Source organism: Homo sapiens, chromosome 6 (genome assembly GCF_000001405.40).
Source record: "Homo sapiens chromosome 6, GRCh38.p14 Primary Assembly".
Taxonomy (NCBI): domain Eukaryota; kingdom Metazoa; phylum Chordata; class Mammalia; order Primates; family Hominidae; genus Homo; species Homo sapiens.
Window position 1 is genome coordinate 72,933,008 of NC_000006.12, and position 18,954 is coordinate 72,951,961.

At 36.8% G+C, this 18,954-nt stretch overlaps 1 protein-coding gene and 1 long non-coding RNA gene across 11 annotated transcripts in view; one reads left to right on the plus strand and one right to left on the minus strand.

The window, feature by feature from the left end:
• The window catches only part of KCNQ5 (potassium voltage-gated channel subfamily Q member 5), a 576,790-nt gene that overhangs the window by 310,944 nt on the left and 246,892 nt on the right, over positions 1-18,954 (plus strand). The window lies entirely within an intron of this gene.
• LOC105377855 (uncharacterized) overlaps positions 12,871-18,954 on the minus strand; it is a 54,497-nt gene continuing 48,413 nt past the window's right edge. For both annotated transcript variants that reach the window (XR_007059641.1, XR_942688.3), the window contains 2 exons: positions 14,671-14,751; positions 12,871-13,112 (listed from right to left, as the gene is read on the minus strand). This is a non-coding gene — a long non-coding RNA (uncharacterized LOC105377855). The remainder of the gene's footprint in view (positions 13,113-14,670; positions 14,752-18,954) is intronic.

Genomic DNA, 18,954 nt, shown 5'->3' on the forward strand with positions numbered 1-18,954 from the left:
CATTAATTATGTTGCTTTAAAACAGGTTTGAACATAAAAAACAAATTCAATGTCATTCTAGAGTAATAACCCTCAAGAAAATACCAGGACAGGAGAAAAATCTGAATTTTTAATAAGCCAATATATTTTGGAGTATGATAAATTAAAATCACCTTCAGATGCTGAGATTAAAAAAATTCTGGACAGAACTTACCATGTTAAGGATTTAAAAGTTTTAATTACATTAGGATTTACCTTAAGAGATATTATGATAACTATAGATAAGAGCCAAAAGGAGACCCATGAGATTAGCCTTTCCTGGCCGGAATGTTTTATCTCTCTGCATCTGATTAGTTTCTATCATCTGTTGAAGGATTATGCCTTTGCTTCTGTCGGGATGCCATCCATAATTCTTACAGGATGAACTTCCCAGTCTGTTGGCGGTGGAGGGGATGAGGGAGGTTAGGAGGCAGCACCCTTTTTCTTCTGGAGATTTGCACCTTGCTTCTAACCATATCGTGTTTGCTCAGTCTCTGCTCTGAGTACTTATTAATGATCTGTCATCTGTCACAGGTAATTCATTCTACTTGATTGTTTCAAATTAGCTCTAGTGAGTTGACCATTACTTATCTTCCACTCCATAAACCTAAATCTTGAGATCCTTAAAAAATAAGTAAAAATCATGCTGCAAAAATACAATGTATAAATCAATTGCATTTCTTTGACTTATAAATTGTTACTTTCTTTAATTTGATTACACTGAGGTCATGTGTCTCCTCCTAATAATAATAGTAGCCATTTGGTAGAGGATTTTATAGTTTACCTTTGCATTCACAAATACTGATTTATCATTACTATGAGCCGATAATTATTCTAGTTTTAGGCAAGGTCCCTGATCTCATAGAATTTTTTTCTTGAAAGAGGCTATACAAACAATAAACAAGCAAATAAATGTAATTAAACAAGTAAACAAATAAATGTACACCATCTCTGAGCCCAGGAGTTAAAGGCTGCAATGAGCTATGATCATACTACTACACTCCAGCCTGGGCAACAAAGGGAGATGCTATCTGTAAATAACAATAAGAAGAAGAGATAAAAACTGGGTGTTTAAGGAATAAAGGCATGTCAGAGGCATGAAGATCCTACTTTAGCTTGAGTTACGGGGTTTCTCTGAGAAGGTAGCATTTGAAATGAAGGCAGATAATCTGCTGAACATACATCTAGGGACAGAGTGTTCCATGCAGAGCCAATAGAAAGGCCCTAAATTAATTATGGCAACCTATATATATCAATGATGATGGTGATGATGACTGATGATGACAACAATGATAATGATAAAAAGGAAGATAATGATGTTGATGACGGTGGTGGTGGTAATGATGATAATGGTGATGATGGTGGTGATGGTGGTGATGACAGTGGTGATAGTGTGATAACAGTGGTGGTGGTGGTGATATCCTACATTTATAAGTGTAGCTCAATAAAACTAAATAAAATGCCCACGGTCACACAATTAGTAAATTATATAGATCCCTAGACAAAATTATTTAGTGACAATGAGATTTCAAAGGTGATCTGAACTTTGGCCTTTTGGCTGTTATATCAGAAGTGCTTTAGATAATTGCCATATCTTTGCAGGAATCCCCTAATTTCAAAATTCATCTTTAAGTGTTTCCTAAATTATAGGGACTAATCCTATGCTGAAGGAATCCTAGTACTCCATCTTGGTAACAGGAGGCTCTTTCTCTTTTGTCTGGGCTCTCATAGCTCAGCTATGTTTTTTCACTCCACTGATCAACAATGTCAGTCAACTCTGAAAGCTTGGTTTTAAGCATCTCACTTCTTATTCTTGCAACAGTCACTTTAGTGTCCCCAATCCCACTAAATCTTTGGCCCACTGAAACCTCTAATACAGTGACACTGACAATACCCATCACCTCACTCAGGTACTTACTTTCTTCTTTTAACTAGTACAAATTCCATGTACCTTCACTATGACACTCCCTTGCAATGAATCCGCTTTCTCAACAAAACTTCCAACTTTAACTGAATCCATATATTGGCCTTGTTCTATCTTTTTTTTTTTTTTTTTTTTTTTTGAGATGGAGTTTCGCTCTTGTCACCAGGCTGGAGTGCAATGGCGTGATCTTGGCTCGCTGCAACCTCCACCTCCCAGGTTCAAGCGATTCTCCTGCCTCAGCCTCCCAAGTAGCTGAGATTACAGGTGCCCACCACCACGCCCAGCTAATTTTTGTATTTTTAGTAGAGATGGGGTTTCACCACGTTGGCCAGGCTGATCTCAAACTCCTGACCTCAGGTGATCCACCCACCTCAGCCTCCCAAAGTGCTGGGATTACAGGCGTGAGCCACCTCAACCAACCAGCGTTGTCCTATCTTTGTCTTGTGCCTGAGAAACTAAACATTGGGAAAATCACATAATCATGCTGACTGGTATCCCTTTAAATTTATGACCATATGTCTCAAATGGGTCCTCATTCCCCTGCTAAGCATACTGCCGGCACTCAGAAGCAGCTGCATCAAATCTTCTCTTCTTTGCATGATTAGTTGTTTCTTTTATCTTGTATCATTCTCACCAGCTTTTTGACATGATCTAATATATCCCTTTAAAAACAAAACAAACACCTTGGCTCTGTTATCCCCATCCAGCTTATGCCTATTTCTCTGTTCCTCTTTATAGCAAAACCTCTCAAAGGGACGGTCTCCACTTCCTTCATCTCCCATTCACTGTAATTCATTCCTACTGAGGTTCCACTCTCATCTTTTCAATGAAACGGTTTTTGCCAAATTCAAAATCCTCACTGTACCAAATTCAATGACATCTCATCTGCCCTCCTCTCACTCTACCTCAAAGCAGTATTCCATGCTTTGGATCCAGCATTCCAGATCAGCCTCCTTGAAACTTTCTTTTCTTGCATTCTAAGACTCAACACTCTCCAGGTTTTCTCTTCCCTCCTAGGAGAACCCTTCTCAGCCTTCTTAATAATTTCCCTTAAATGGTCTCAGTCAATGCTATGTCTTCAAATCCCATCTCTTCTGGTAATGCCCTTTTTTATTTGCTTCTCTGATCTCCAGACTCCCAACTAGAAGCCTCTCTGACATTTCCACTTACTTGTCTGAGAGTCTTCTCAAACTTGGCACAGCCAAAACAGAGTCAACCAGAGTCTTGATGTCACCCAAAAAATCAGAGAAATAATTTCCTTAATCATCTCATCTGAAATAACCTACCCACCTATTCTCTATCCCATTATTCATTTTTGTTTTCTTCATGTCACTATCAGAAATTTTTACTCACTTTTTTATTTTCTTGTGCCTGATCTACTTTCCCACCAGAATGAAAGCTCTGTGGGGGCAAGGACAAGGAGCTCATCTGACTTATTCTGGCTTTAGTCTCAGAGCACAATACGATGCCTGATTCATAGCAAACACTCAGTAAATATTTATTATAAAATTAATTAGAAAATGAATGAAAGAAAAATTAAACACTTCAACTTTAACATTAAATTTAATTCAAAGATCTAAGTGAGGGGTTTTCCTAAAATGAGGAAAGGTAGCATAGAATTAGATGTTGTATTAAAATGCATCACATGCAAAGTTTTAAATATATAAATGTATCATTTTTCCAATCTCTTACAACTGAAATTATAACCACAGAAAATATTATATTTTGTATTCTATAATTCAGTTATCTGATTTTTAAAATTAATTAATCTACTTAACTCATTAAAATATAAATGCTGTAACAAATTCTTGGCTTTTGTCAAAATCTGTTTCTTGCCTCCGTCTTCCACATGTAATTCAATTTCTCTGAGCCTTGGTTTTCTCATCTTTGGGCTTGATGACTTCCAGTTTTCAAATTCTCTGACTCTGTCTTAACATTATCATCATACAGATGTGTTCTTGTTCATGGATTTGCTTGTCTCTGTAATTTTCTCACATTTTCATTTGTGTATTTTGCATAATTGAGATAGAACTGCGGCTGTAACTGTAACTGGAGCTATATGCGTCTCCAGAGAGCTGAGAGTACAAACAAAATAGCTAACTTATAAAAACAACTATTCATATTGATAAATTACACATATGAGCTGAGGATTTAAAAGAGTAAAGTAAAATTTTATTGTAGTAATTTACAAATAATGCTCTATAAAAAGGAATTAGTGCTTTACGAACCCAGAGATGCTTTAAAATTCTTTAATAGTCACTCTCTCCTCAATTTTTTTGGATCTCCAGGGAAAGCAGGACTTGCTCCTGTGTGATATTCTGTAAGTCCTGGACAAATTCAGCTGCCAACTGAAGTCCATTTTACTTCAGGCAAAGAACTATGTCTTCCTTTGCTTGAACCAGCAAGAATCTGCCCTGAGGGACAGGATAACAAAGCTTCACAGGCATGCACCCACCAGAACCACATTTAAAGGAAAGTTATGCTTGCCTCTACCACAGAACCATATGTCTGTAAAATATAGCACACATTACCAAAATAAATATAATTTTGATCAAGTTAAAGTATGTTTCAATAAAAAGTAATTTTCTTTTCTTCTATAAGCCTTTTAATAATTCTTTCCTATATCAGTTTGGCTATGTAAAAGCAGGTGGATTGTGCATCCTCTCCCAAAATGAAGAACAAAATTGAACAATCAGCCACACAAAGAAGTCCTCAGAAAGCTGCATGCTCTCAAATTTGCCAATTAACAAGAGAAAAATGTGTGTTACTCTTTTAAGTTCTCTGTTATTATGCATGTGTAAACCTCATTTTAAAGTAAAATTTTTTTTATTTTAATACATAAAATCAATACAGGGTTAAAGATAATGGGAGTTTTTATTTAAGTTCTACATAAAGGTCCAAATATATTTATGTAGACCCCAAGTTTTCTCAATAGTCTATCACCCTAATTTGACCATGATGGAGTTAATACTGGCTATGTAGTCAAAAGGCTTTATAACTTACAATTGGGAAATGTGAGCATATCACTCACTCTTTCTAAGTCTGTTTTTATCATGTTCAAGAAGTATCACCCTGCCCTGACCACCTTACAAGGTTGTTCTGATGAAATGAGATGATGCCAGATTAAAATACTTGGCATACAAATGAAAAGTTGGATTTCTTGAGCAGAGAGCACTGTGTCCCTAGTAACTAATTAATTCATTAATTAAGACATTAATTTAATAAACTAAAGCATTTCCTGAGGCACTGGGGCTTCAAGAATAAGTAGGACAAAAAAATAGATTCATGGTTGCCTAAGCCTGGGAGGTAGGAATGGGAGTGGAGGCAAATGATCAGGGGACTTCTATTTGGAGTGATAGAAATGATTTCATAAGATGTGGTACTAGTTGCACAATTCTGTAAATGTACTAATATCATAAAATTGTACGTTTATTTATTTATTTTTCTTGAGATGGAGTCTCGCTCTGTCACCCAGACTGGAGTGCAGTGGCATGATCTCCGCCCACTGCAACCTCCAACTCCTGGGTTCAAGCAATTTTCCTGCCTCAGCCTCCCAAGTAGCTGAGACTACAGGCATGCACCACCACACCCGGCTAATTCTTGTATTTTTTTTTTAGTAGAGATGGGGTTTCACCATGTTGGTTAGGCTGGTCTCAAACTCCTGACCTCAAGCAATCTCCCTGCCTTGGCCTCCCGAAGTGCTGGGATTACAGGCACGAGTCACCACGCCCAGCAAATTGTACATTTAAAACCATTGAATTTTATGATATGTATATTATACCTCAAGAAAGCTTTTTTAAAAAAATAAAGCATGGTTCCTACCATCAAGAAGCTTATAGTCAAATGGGGAAAACTGACATATAAACAAAAGAAGGCTACAGTATGCTAGAGAAATGTGGATGTTGTTGTTGTTGGCCTAAAGTTATACATAATTGAAACTTCAAGTGATTTAAGTATTTTAAAAGAAACGTTAAATACTTCTAACATTAGTAATACTGTTTCAGACCTAGAACAGATTTCGTGCTCTATTGTAAGACATACAATATCTAAAACTTGCAAAAACTCATTAACCCTGTACCACACTTGTCATATATGAGACTGTATTTTAAGAAACAAGGCCTTGACATGCCTTGTCTGGAAATGTTGCCAATATTGTCAATTTGATGTTCGTTGAGCATTACAGAACGCTCAGTGCTTTTGGCGAGCGGGTGGAAGCTGGGTTGAGGAGGAGCGTCTGTGCCCTGGCACACTTGATTGCTTGAACCCAGTCCCTCAGGGACACTAGCTGGCAGGGCTCCCGGGTCATCACAAAGCAAGCAGGACAGAAGGGGTAGGCAGAGCAGAGACTGCCAACCCACCACAGCTGGGGGCTCTCCTTCCACTCGGAGTAAGTCTGCAATTCCAGCCCATGCGTTCTTTCTCCAGAGACACTTTTCTGCTTTAGGGAAATGCAAAGGACACCCTTACTCTGGGTTTGAAATTGGATTTCCAACTCTGTCAAGCATCCTTTATTTCCAGAAGTTGTCCTAGTTTAAATCCTAAGCCTCCAAACTTTTTCTTCAACGTACAAACAGGTCCTCCTTGGAGAGACACCTCTCCACTAAGCACCTGCCTCCCTGAACATGTATTGTATATTGTTTTCTTCCAGCCTATTCCATACACCTCAGAGGAGAGAAGCCTCATGTATGCTTCCGCACTGATTAATTTATGCAGTCTTTCACTCACTCAACACATACTTGTCAGGCCTTATTATCTACTTAAACTTGATGCAAGCCTGCAAATCAGAGAGTATCTCTGGTATAGACCACATAAACCTACCTACACATCTCCCAACTGAGCTGGTATTTGGCCCCTGGCTGCCCCATGAGAACATGTTCCCTTAGCAGAGAGTAGGCATTTCTTTCTTTTCACGTCTATGAAGATGAGTAAAATGTAAAAATGGGTAGAAAGATTAATAGCAACCATCATTTACCCATTGGTTTTCTCTGTTTTGTAACTAAATGTGAAGGCAGCACATAAAAAACGTTTATTCTCCATGGTGTCTTTCTCTCTGAGTCATTTTAAGGTTTGAAAGAAATATTCATTCTTCTTAAAATGCCTCTCTGGGCCCTAGTTTTCTCTCTTATAAAATGAGGTTGTTGTATTCACAACCTCCAAGCACTCTTTAAGCTTGAACATTCTTTGATGTTCTGAATCATACCCAAAATTCAGCCCTTTATTTCCCATTGAGAGGTAGAGATTTGAAGCAGAACCAGAAAGGGCCTGCCTATTCCCAAAAAGAAGATTTAATAATTTGACAATGTCTACCAAAGGAAACTGAATCATTATGCATTATTATCATTATGCATTATTATTGAGACGGTTATTATTTCAGCCAAATTATTAACATTTCAGCAGGAAACTTTTTTGCCTGGCTCTGATACTTGTTTTCATGCCCAGGACAGGTGTTGCCTAACCTGGCCTGAATCATATCTGACTTTAGAGTCTCCCCAGCCCTACTCATGCCCCAGCAAGGGCTGCAACAGTCATGTCCAGTCACTGGTGATGCGATCACTGGGACAATAGGAAGACAGGCCCAGTGTGACTAGGATTCTGGGATGCTACCAGCTGTCAGTCAACACTACCAGATGCGGACAGAGATGGCTTTAATGTGTATGTCCTAGTAAACCGTTTTCGTCAGAATAATAAAGACCGCTAAGACAAATCACTTCGATTGCTTAATAATCTGCTTGCTCTACAAAGAAGCAGTATCAGGTAGCAATTAAGCACAAGGATTCTGAATTTGAGTCTACCTGTGTTTGAGTCATGGCTTCTGCACGTACTAGCTCTGTAACTCTTAGCCTTAGTGTTCCCTGTTGGTAAAGGGGGAATAACAGTAAAGTTGTTTTAACGATTAAATAAGGTAATACATGCAAAGTATTTAGAGAAATAGCTGGCATATGATAACCTGCGTTAATTATCTGTATGCTGTAACTCCCTGTGGGAAAAAAATTTAAATTAAACTTAAGTCATAAAGAAAAAAATTAGATGACTGAAAAAAAATACGGCATAATATGAAGGACATTAGTGTCGAGTGGGGTCTTATTAAACAAAGATTCAGAAATCCCTGTTCCATAAGATGGTCATCAGACCGAAATGTTTATAAAGTACCTAGACTAAGATAGATCTCAGTGAGTATTAATTTCCTTTCCCTGTCTAATATCCTCAATTTTATTTCTTTTGCCTTCTTTTTAAATTTATTTTTCTGTTTATTTTTTAACCTTGCTTCCTTCTATCTGCATGCATAGGATGGGTGTTGCCTAACCTGGCCTGAATCTTATCTGTCTGGAGAGTCTCCCCAGCCCTGCTCATCTTCCTTCCTTCCTTCCTTCTTTCCTTCCTTCCTTCCTTCCTTTCTTCCTTCCTTCTTTTCTTCCTTCCTTCTTTCCTCCTTCCTTCCTTCCTCCTTTCCTCCTTCCCTCCCTCCCTTCTTTCCTTCCTCCTTCCCTCCCTCTCTTCATTCCTTCCTTCCTTCTTCCTTCCCTCCTTCCCTCCCTCCCTTCTTTCCTTCCTTTTTCTCTCCCTCCCTTCCTTCCTTCCTCCTTCCCTCCTTCCTTTCCTTCTTCCCTCCCTCCTTCCTTCCTCCTTCCCTCCCTCCCTTCCTTCCTCCCTTAATTCCTTCCTTCCTGACTTCCTCCCCTCCCTCCTCCCTTCCCCACCCGCACCTCCCTCCCCATCTCTTTCTTTCTTTCTTTCTTTCTTTCTTTCTTTCTTTCTTTCTTTCTTTCTTTCTTTCTTTCTTTCTTTCTTTCTTTCTTTCTTTTCTCCCTCAACTACTGATTGCTGGTTTCCTTCTCCATGCCAGGCACTCTGTGGCTCCTTGGGATAAAGTTGGGAAACAAACCAACATTGTTCTGACCCTCTTATAGTCTAATGCGGGGAAAAGTTATTCATCAGATTACCTCATTAATGAATGTGTAAATACAACTTTAGATAAGTGTTCTGAGCAAACACAATGTTGTTTTGTAAGGGCATATGTCTGAAACACCATGCCTGTGAGAGGCTGTGAGAGAGTTTACCCAACCCATAAGTGGGGAAGGGCATTTTCTGCTAAAGCAGTAACTCCTACAGAGAACCTGTGGCCTGAGCTGCCATTTTAAGAATGTGACTGAAGCTCAGGGAGGCAGGTAACAGAGGTGCTAAGGCTCTCTACTGGAGAGATTTCAGAGAAATAGAACAATATCTAGCAAAAAGTTGCTTTGCCTTATATATAACCAAACAGTATTTTATGATTTATTTCTAAATAAGAGTTTATTTTCCATTTACAGAATCACACATTTTAAATGTTATTCACTGACCTGTAGTATCCAAATTAAACCTATTTCTCTTATTCTGCATAAATTAATGTTAATATTATCAGTAATTGCCCCCATACATACCAAACATGCATCGAGAATTGTATGATTACTCTATGTAAAAATTGAGACGTGGAATCATTCTTGACACCTTAGCTCCGTACCTGCCAAGTAGACATAAGGAGGCTCAAAAATATATGCTACAGATAAAAAATTAAAGAGACTGACAGATAAAAGAATTAAAGAAAGCATAACCTCAGTGGCAGAGAAATTCTGCTTTCAGTATACTAATTTACTTTTAACTTTTCAGATTATTTTGGGAAAATTTGAATACAGAAGTGAAGCTTCAAAAATATCTGAGCCTTCTGAGCAGAAATACAGGTTTCTTTAGAATAGTTTTTCCTCCCGTGTTCACTGTGGTGCTATGGGGACTCTACGGTGATATGGAATGACTGCGGTAGGGGCAGTGTCTAAACCTAACAAGTCCAGTTTAATTTGCCAAAAAGTTTCTCACTTTGACCTTGGCCTGCATCTACCTGGATAAGCCTATTTGGCTGATTTCAGGAAGAAAAATGGCTGTAGTTTTTAATGAAAAATCACCTTTTTGAAGTTTGTCTTTCACTTTATGCCGTATTTGGCATACTTGGCTAGATTACACAAACTGTTTAAACTTACAAAGCTGAACTGCTCTGAGGGGAGATTTGGAAATTAAATAATCGATTTTTTTATCCTTTTCATGATCATACCATTGATGCAACTAAAGGCAATTCAACATTAAAACAAACACAATTTCTTTTTATTTACTACTTAAATGTAGCCTGCACTGTTAGTAATACATGTTATTTTCTCACCCTTTTTTAAATTAAATGTGTGGTTCAACCATTTTTCAAAAGCATCCGCCTCTTATACTGTCGCTGAAAGATGATCGTGCCCTTCCTTGTGCCATACAGAATCTGCATAAATATATCCTAAACTACAAGCTATTGTTGAGGATCTACCACTTCAGATAGGGAATTGAACATAAAGAATTTGCTAGTGTCAAATGAATGCAAAGCTGGTCTCTCTGTGATGAGGCTTATTTTTAGTTACTAACAATTTTTGAAGCCTAAATTACAGAAAATAGCAATCATTCTCTAGTGCATTGGCTCTTAAAATTAATCAGGCAACTGGGTTAATAATAGCATATTTTTATTAATAACCTACAGAAACACCTGTACTTATTCATCAGAAATCTTCAAAATGATATTCCAGTCAAGAAGTGTCAAATTATCATTTGAAAATTATTGAATAAATTCTAGGAGTAGTTTATTACTAAGAGTGAGTTAAATACCTTTTCAGCGCATTCATTTGAGGAGACACAGTGGCACAGAGGTTAAGAGCAAAAGGTACTCAGTTAGACTACCTAGATTGCAACCTTAGTTTCAATAGCTACTAACTGCGTGATCTTGAGGAAGTTACTTCTCTGGGCATCAGTTTTCTCATCTGTAAAATGGGAATGATATTAGTAACACAAAATGACTGCTAAGATTTAGCTCCTACTTTGCACAAGGCACTGTGCATGAGCAAGAGAGAGAATGACAGATAGATATTACATGCCTAGTACTCTTCTAGGATTTAACCTTCACAACAGCTGTATAAGGCAGAAAGTATTATTTCCCCCTTTTTACAGATAAAGACATTTAGAAACCAAGAAGGTAAACAACTTGCCTGAATTTATCAGAGAAAGTATCAGAGCCTGAATTTAGACCCAGAATGTTTAGCCCCAAAGTCTGTCTTCAACCACTAATCTACAATGCCTGATTCACACATCAACATATGGCTGTTATTTAATGAGATGATATAGATAAACCACTTAGATCATTGCATGGTTCCAGTAAATATTCAATGAGCATTCATTACTATTATTAGTTTATGTATTGTCTCCTTTATTGCATTAAATACTTAACTTTCCACTAAGATTTTTTTCTTATACCCTCTTTTGCCACATTTTGTGAGATTTGGTAAGATTATCTTGGGGTCAACACATAATAAAAGGCATCACACATTTTTTGTTTCTAATAATTTCATGCACCAGAGTGTCAAACAAATCAAGGTCAATTCTTTAAAAAGTATTCATTCATTTTTTTCTACAAATACTTATTGAGCACCTACTACATGCCCGATATTATTTCAGGACCTATTCTAAGGCATTCAGCAGAGAACAAGACAAAGGCCTGTCTCTCACACAAGTTACCTCCTAGTGAATCATTTTGTCATTAACTGAATTCAAACTTGAGCCTTTAATCCTGGGAAATAGTGCTATAACCAAAACTGAAATCTTCCACTGTTAAACACTTGAGACATTAGCAGGAAGATGTTTACACAGCCCACAGCCCTCTGTGTCACTGGCCTTTCCTCATGGGCTTAAGAAAACTGCTTCAGAGAAAACCTCTGAAAAACCTGCCACCAACCTGTGGCAGCCTACCTCAAACCAGCAGCTGAAGGACAGAGCAAAGACATTCCAGGATCTCTGAGAACTGTATCCATAAATAAAGCCCATTCAAAAAGGATGCACTGATCATGTTTTTCTCCACTGGAACATGAGTGGATGTTTCACAAGTCACCCATTCTCCTCATTGCTGCGTGGTGAAAGCCACAAGTTCCAAAATAGATGCTGAGGCTTTCAAATTCCTGAGGACAGAATTTGATTCTTATTCCCTTAAGTTATTTTTCTCTTGCCCTCATCCTTCCAAAAAAAAATTCATATTCTGCTACTATCGATATCTCATGTGAAATAATTATATTAGTGAAGGCTTTTCATATCAGATTATGTCCTTTGAACATACAAGGAAAAAACTCATTGTTATAACAATATGATCATTCAAGATGCTTTTTTTAGTCATTTTATTATTTGAAGAGAAATGAGTTTATAAAAAAATATAATTTCCTACAAATTTAAGGGAAAAGCATATGCTTCTTTTTTCTTTTTCTTTTCTTTTTTTTATTATACTTTAAGTTTTAGGGTACATGTGCACAACGTGCACGTTAGTTACATATGTATACATGTGCCATGTTGGTGTGCTGCACCCAGTAACTCATCATTTAACATTAGGTATATCTCCAAATGCTATCCCTCCCCCCACCCCCCACCCCACGACAGGCCCCGGTGTGTGATGTTCCCCTTCCTGTGTCCATGTTTTTTTTTTTTTTGAGACAGAGTCTTGCTCTGTCACCCATGCTGGAGTGCAGTGGTGCAATCTTGGCTCACTGCAACCTCTGTCTCCTGGGTTCAAGTGGTTCTCCTGCCTCAGCCTTCTGAGTAGCTGGGACTACAAGTGCAGGCCACCATGCCTGGCTAATTTTTAAATTTTTTAGTAGAGACAGGTTTTTGCCATGTTGACAGGCTGGTCTCGAACTTCTGGCCTCAAGTGATCTGCCTGCCTCGGCCTCCCAAAGTGCTGGGATTACAGGCATGAGCCACTGCTCCCCACCTGATATATGTATACATTGTGGAATGATTATATCAAACAAATTAACATATCCATTTTTCTTTATTCTGCAATACTGGTGTAGAATATTCTTAAGAGACTGAGGGGGAGAAAAGAAGTACATATATTGACCGCTCACAAATTTTAACATTTAATCTCATTTAATTCTCATAACAACACTGGAAGTAAGTACATGTAACCCTCATTTAACCAAGTGAAAACAGAGATTCGGGAGAGCCATGTAACTGTTCCACTTTCACTGACACAGCAGAGCCAGGACTAGACCAGCTGTATCCAAAGGTCACGTCTTCTCACGAACCACAGTATTTTACTTCAGCAGAGGTCATGCAGATATCCATAAGACCACTGCTGTTCAAGAGAAAACAGTTCCAAACGGCCTTTTATAGAACCAATTGCTACATACATCACATTCATATTAACATGAAAAACCATCTATATGTGTTCCTATAGTTCATCAAAAAACTATCACAACAATGTTAAAGCAATTATGCCTCTCGGATGAAGTGTTACATTTTAAACAAATTACTTGATGATTCTATTAAAAGGAATAAAAATAATGTAATTGACATAGATGAGATTAGCACCTTTCCCCATTCATTTTATGATATACCTTTTAAAGACATCATCATCATCAAATAATATTTATTACACGCTGTAATTCCTAGAAGAGCAGGATTTGGACTGAAAAACATAACTGAGTTACAAGCAAGACGTATTGCTTATTTAATACATCATAGACTGCTATAGAAGTGTTATGTTTTTATGTAATGGTTAGGAAAACCTCTGCATTAATTTGTAGAAAAAAATAGAGAAAAATCAAAAGCCTACAAAAATTTTTGTACAACTTTGAATTTAACTATTTCCTCTAAGAAGCCAAAGACACATTTATTTCTTCTCTGCCTTAACATTCAATCTAATTGAAAAAGCTAGGAGACAAGGAAATAAATATGGATTTGTTTAATGGTAAAGTGCTTGATATTTCTGTTAATTATAACTTGACTATTGAACAACTTGCACTCAGAAATCTTAAAGTATCTCAAATATTTATCTCATTTACAACATATGGGAGAGGAAGATTCCTTTCTCTTTTTCCTCCTATGATAATAAAGACCGGCAAGGGAATGTACAGAGAGTTTCACAATGAGTTGTGTAATCATGACCAGTCCCCAGACTTTTGAGTCTGATGGTCTTCCAGTCTGGCAGTCTCACAACTCTTCATATTCCTAGCCTTTGCACTTTTAATTTTCCACCAGTGATTATTTTAACCATATCCCTAGATGACTAACATCCATATAGCCTTTGAACCTCAGTATTAACCGCAGCTGTATCATTGAGCTCACAGGGCCTTCTATGTAGGCTTTCATGGATAATATTTAATAAGATGATGTACAGGGGGAAAAGGTAAACAATTTTTCTAACATTGAAACTAATATATATGCTTCACTTAACATGCTATTTCTCCTGAGCTTTGAATATGAAATAGGCATTGTTTCACACTACAAATTTGAGGTCAGGCAGTTTTTAATTTACTCTTTTCATGCTAAATTTGGAGTATCTAAAGTTATTATCATCATCAAAAAATATTTATTCAAGCTATACTTTATAGAAGAGGGGCAGAGTTTGGACTGATAAACATAACGGAGATACAAGCAAGACTTACTGCTTACTTAATAGGTCATTTTCCATTTTAACTACTTTAGAGGTGTTAAGTCCGTTCTTAGCCGCTGGTTTGAAATATCTAAAGCTCAGCAGAATATCTCTAATGAAATACCAATGGAAGTGTTGAAGGGTTTCTTACTCTTAGTTTGAAATTCAATTCTGATAGATATAATTGACTGCACCACATCCAGAAGTATTATCTGTTTATCTTTGTGCATTTCAAAAGGCAGAAAAAAAGTTGACTTACCTCATAAAGAGATCTCATGGCATGTATCTATATCTCTCAGTCCATCAGTCAACATGTCTATCAAGAATGGCCATGTTTATTCTGTCAAATATTAAATTATGAGACTTATGATTGCAGCCAAAGAGGACATATCTATTTGGAAAGTTATACAGATAAGTGACATGAAGATAGAGAGTTTATAGTTCATTTTTGTTTTACTAGAAACAATTACAGAATACTTTAACTAGAACGTTGGCTTCTGTACAGTTTAGATACAGTAAAAATATTTTTAAAAAACATTTTAAAAAACAGTTTCATGAAATTCTTAGGGATCCACTTATAAAATGTTGTGGAGAGCTACTAATATGCTGAAGTTTTCCAGAACAACAAGAAATCAATTAACGTAGCACCACATCAGTTTAAAAAGCAATTTATCAACTTTTCCTACCAACTCAGGGTCAAATTTCATTGTGTCAAAAACTTAATTTTAAAATAATTGCTGGAGTGAACTTTGATTAACAATAGCACAAATTTGAAGGAGATGTGTTAAGGTTCCTTGAGGTCATTCTTATGAGACTAAGAAAGAAAAGGAAAATATATTGGCTTCACAAATGGCCAAGATCTTTTTAAAACCAGCTAGCTTACAAATCCAACTGACCTGTCGTTACCATACTTCACAGTTAAGAATCATGAGAACAACTTGTTCTGAATCTTCTGGCTGACTCCCCAAGCAGAGTGAGCATTGAGTATCTTCTGTGATTAACATATAAACTGTTTTATTCAGTTTTGGCTTCCTTTCTCTCTGTTCCATGAGAGAAAGGAAAAGAAAAAAAAATCTTTTTCTTTTTAATGGATTCACAGTCAGTATAAATTTTTCCTCTCAAGGTATGTATTATAAGAAAAAAGAAAGTGGACATTGATTTTATAGTATTTTTCTATACTTAAACCTATACCCAAGTAATGTATGTTTTATATTTTCAAAAAAATTTTCCTTAAGTTATTTTCTATATATTTCAGTATTTAGGTTATTTGTTGTACTAATAGATTAACATATGCCAAGAGTTCATTATCATTTTCTTTAAATAGATTAATAAAGGAAAGCCTGAAAGAGCTTGAATTTTATAAAGAGAAGATGAAGATTTTACATATGATGACTTTAATTGATGTTGACAATATTATCTCCTTGAAATTTCTTAGGATAGGAGGGAAGCATATTTGTGGATCAAAGGAAGTTTTAAACAGCAAACAAATGCACATATACTGTCTTGTTGGAGCCCCATTCTCTCTGAAAAACACTTTTTTTATTTTTTCACTCTTTTTTGGTTAGTATTGTTATTGGATCAAAATCAAAGTAGTGTTCCTTGATTGGCAATGTTCGTATTTTTTTATATTCATTCAGGAAACAGCAGAAAAGAACACTTATTTTTAACTCATTAAAATTAAAACTCAGACACAACATCTTTGGCTTTCTCAAATGGATGCTGAAGGCTGGAAAGTTGAGTCTGGCTTGCAACTAATATTAATTTTCTACAGCATTATATAAATCATCTGCCTGTGCTGTCTCACAGAAAATATAAATAGTGGAAAAATAATTTCCTCTTTTGGAGATATTGTGGCTTTTGGCTCTCATGGTCTAGGCCAAAGGGTGCAAAATAGAATTACATGTGGCAAATAGCATTTCCCACCATGCTAAGTGGAGCAAGATCCTTAGATCCACCATGTTGAAACAGAGCCTCCCATGTAAAGTGGTAGACAAGGACAGCTGTAAATATCCTTGTAATACTTTTGTGTCTCTCCCATTTCTTTAAAGTAGATTATGAAACATCAACATCAATAAATGCAACATTTTTCTGAGCTTATACTCCATATGCATATTGTAGTGCCAATATTATAAACTGTAGAGAAAATTTTTAACTACGTGAGTATAGCTTTAAACATTTTCATATTACATGCATTTTTACATGTACTTCAAGCCAATATTTGATCACATTCAATTTTAACATTTTTGCTCGAAAGTGCCAAAATTTTGCACTGAATGAACACATGAATGAACATTTCTGCAATAGTTAATAAATCACTCTTTCCATTCTTTTTCATAAATCATTATGGGAATAAAACTAGCTGCTGCTCCCACAAAAATTACACTGGAAAGCAAGAATAACATTTCCCTTGCCCTTTCCCTCCCCCAATAAACTAAATTTTTTTTAAATGGTTATCAATTTAATGCTATATTTAACCATGTAAGAAGAACAAAAGTTCTTCCCTTTTTTTCAAAATGCTATACCCTCTCAAATAGTTTTTTATTTAAAACTCTCTTGTACAATCTTTTTATTCAAAACTCTCTACCCTTTTCAAATTTCCAAAAGAGATGAAAAAAAATTGCTTTTGTTCCTTCAGGAGCAGAATTAGTATATCACAGAAATTTCTCTTGAATTATTTTTCAACAAGGATCCTGGAAAGCCACATCACTAAAAATCAAGAATAGCTAAGAAAAACTAAGAATTTTGCCTGCTAGAAGTTTGATCTCTTGCTGCTTTTTAAAAAAATCTGTCTTGATAGCAGTTTTAACATAACTGGTAGCGTATTCAGTATCATTTCTTCATGACATGCCACTAGCAGCCAATCTTGGTAAACAAACTGATTAAAAGATTATCTGTCACCCAGGGTTTCATCATCCTCTACAGTGATTCACTTGTTTGGAATCAAGGCACAGTCTGAAGTCACTGAATGGAGTTGATGAAGCTAATGCTTCACAAATAGAAAATGAAAATCATCTGAAAACCAGGGAGAAAATCCTCACTGATTATCGCCAACTTGTTGGTAGAATTCTAACCGTATGGTTTCCATGCATGAATCACAGGAACCATTGGTTGCAGCAGAGCCCCTCAGCTGTCTCACTTCCTCCAGTGGCATGAGCCTGCTGCTGTACCTTGTATTCACCTGGTGACAGTGATGACCAAGATGTTTACACCTGCTGCAGTGATGAGCACACAGGCATGAGCAGTCCTTCCACAGTTGTGTGTGTGTCGGAGGGCATTGGAGGGGAAGTGAATTCCAAGGGCTGGAGCGGTAGAACAATTCCAATCTAGCATGATCTGTCTTGAATTCTAAGAATATGTTTTCATAACTTGGAGGATGGCCATATCATGGAAGGGGGAAACCCAAATATTGACGCTTTTTGCCTATCATGATGTCATAAGGATTAATCATCCAAATGTAACTTTCTGAGCTCTACAAAAGGTCATGTGAAATCAAATTTCTATTAATAATTAGATTAGATATCTGATCCCAAGCCCTCATAACAATCTTCTCTGGCCTTTTTTGTTACTGCTGCTTAGAGCTGAGAATCCCTGTTTTCTGAAAACTTTAAGCCTGATTTCTAGTTCCTCCTGCCTTTTCCCAGATCCCAAAAAAATCAATGTTAAATCAACTTGAGTATTTTCACATGCAAAGGAAGTATTTGAACATGGAACAAGTGTGGATATTGTCCCAATGATCAGGATTTTCAACTTTCTTGTTCTTCTCAGATCCTCTCTTCCCTCAAAAAATTATTCTGTTAAATTAATTTAACCTCTTAGCCTTCTTTTGTTGTTGTTGATTTTTTGTTGGTTTGTTTTTTGGTTTTTGCTTGTTTGTTTGAGACGGAGTCTTGCTCTGTCGACCAGGCTGGAGTGCAGTGGTGCGATCTCAGCTCACTGCAACCTCTGCCTCCCAGGTTCAACCAATTCTCCCTGCCTCAGCCTCCTGAGTAGCTGAGATTACAGGCACCAACCACCACACCCAGCAAATTTTTTTTTTTTTTTTTTAAGTAGAGAAGAGGTTTCACCCTGTTGGCCAGGTTGGTCTTGAACTCTTGACCTCAGGTGATCCACCCCCTTGGCCTCCCAAAGTGCTGGGATTACGGGTGTGAGCCACTGTTCCTGGCCTAACCCCTTAGCCTTCTATTAATAATACAAAAAGATATGTCCTCCCCTAAGATACGTAACCTTTCAGTAATTATAAAAGTATATACCTGTGCTCAGTTTTTATTTGATGATGCTGTTTTTATTTTATTTTAATCCACAGCTATTTTCCACGAAACATCCTATAGAAGAGATACTTTCTTAGGGATGAGAATTATGTATTACGTACTTAGAACAAGGGCAAAGTTTAACTCTTAGTACATGGCAAAGCTGATCTCATCCCTGAAGAGTGTAATGTACTTCTAGAACTTCATCTTCTATCCAAATCCATTAAATTAAAAGAGATTGAGGGAACTGAGTGGAATAGTCATCAACATTTCACTAAATAAAATGAAATCTCTCT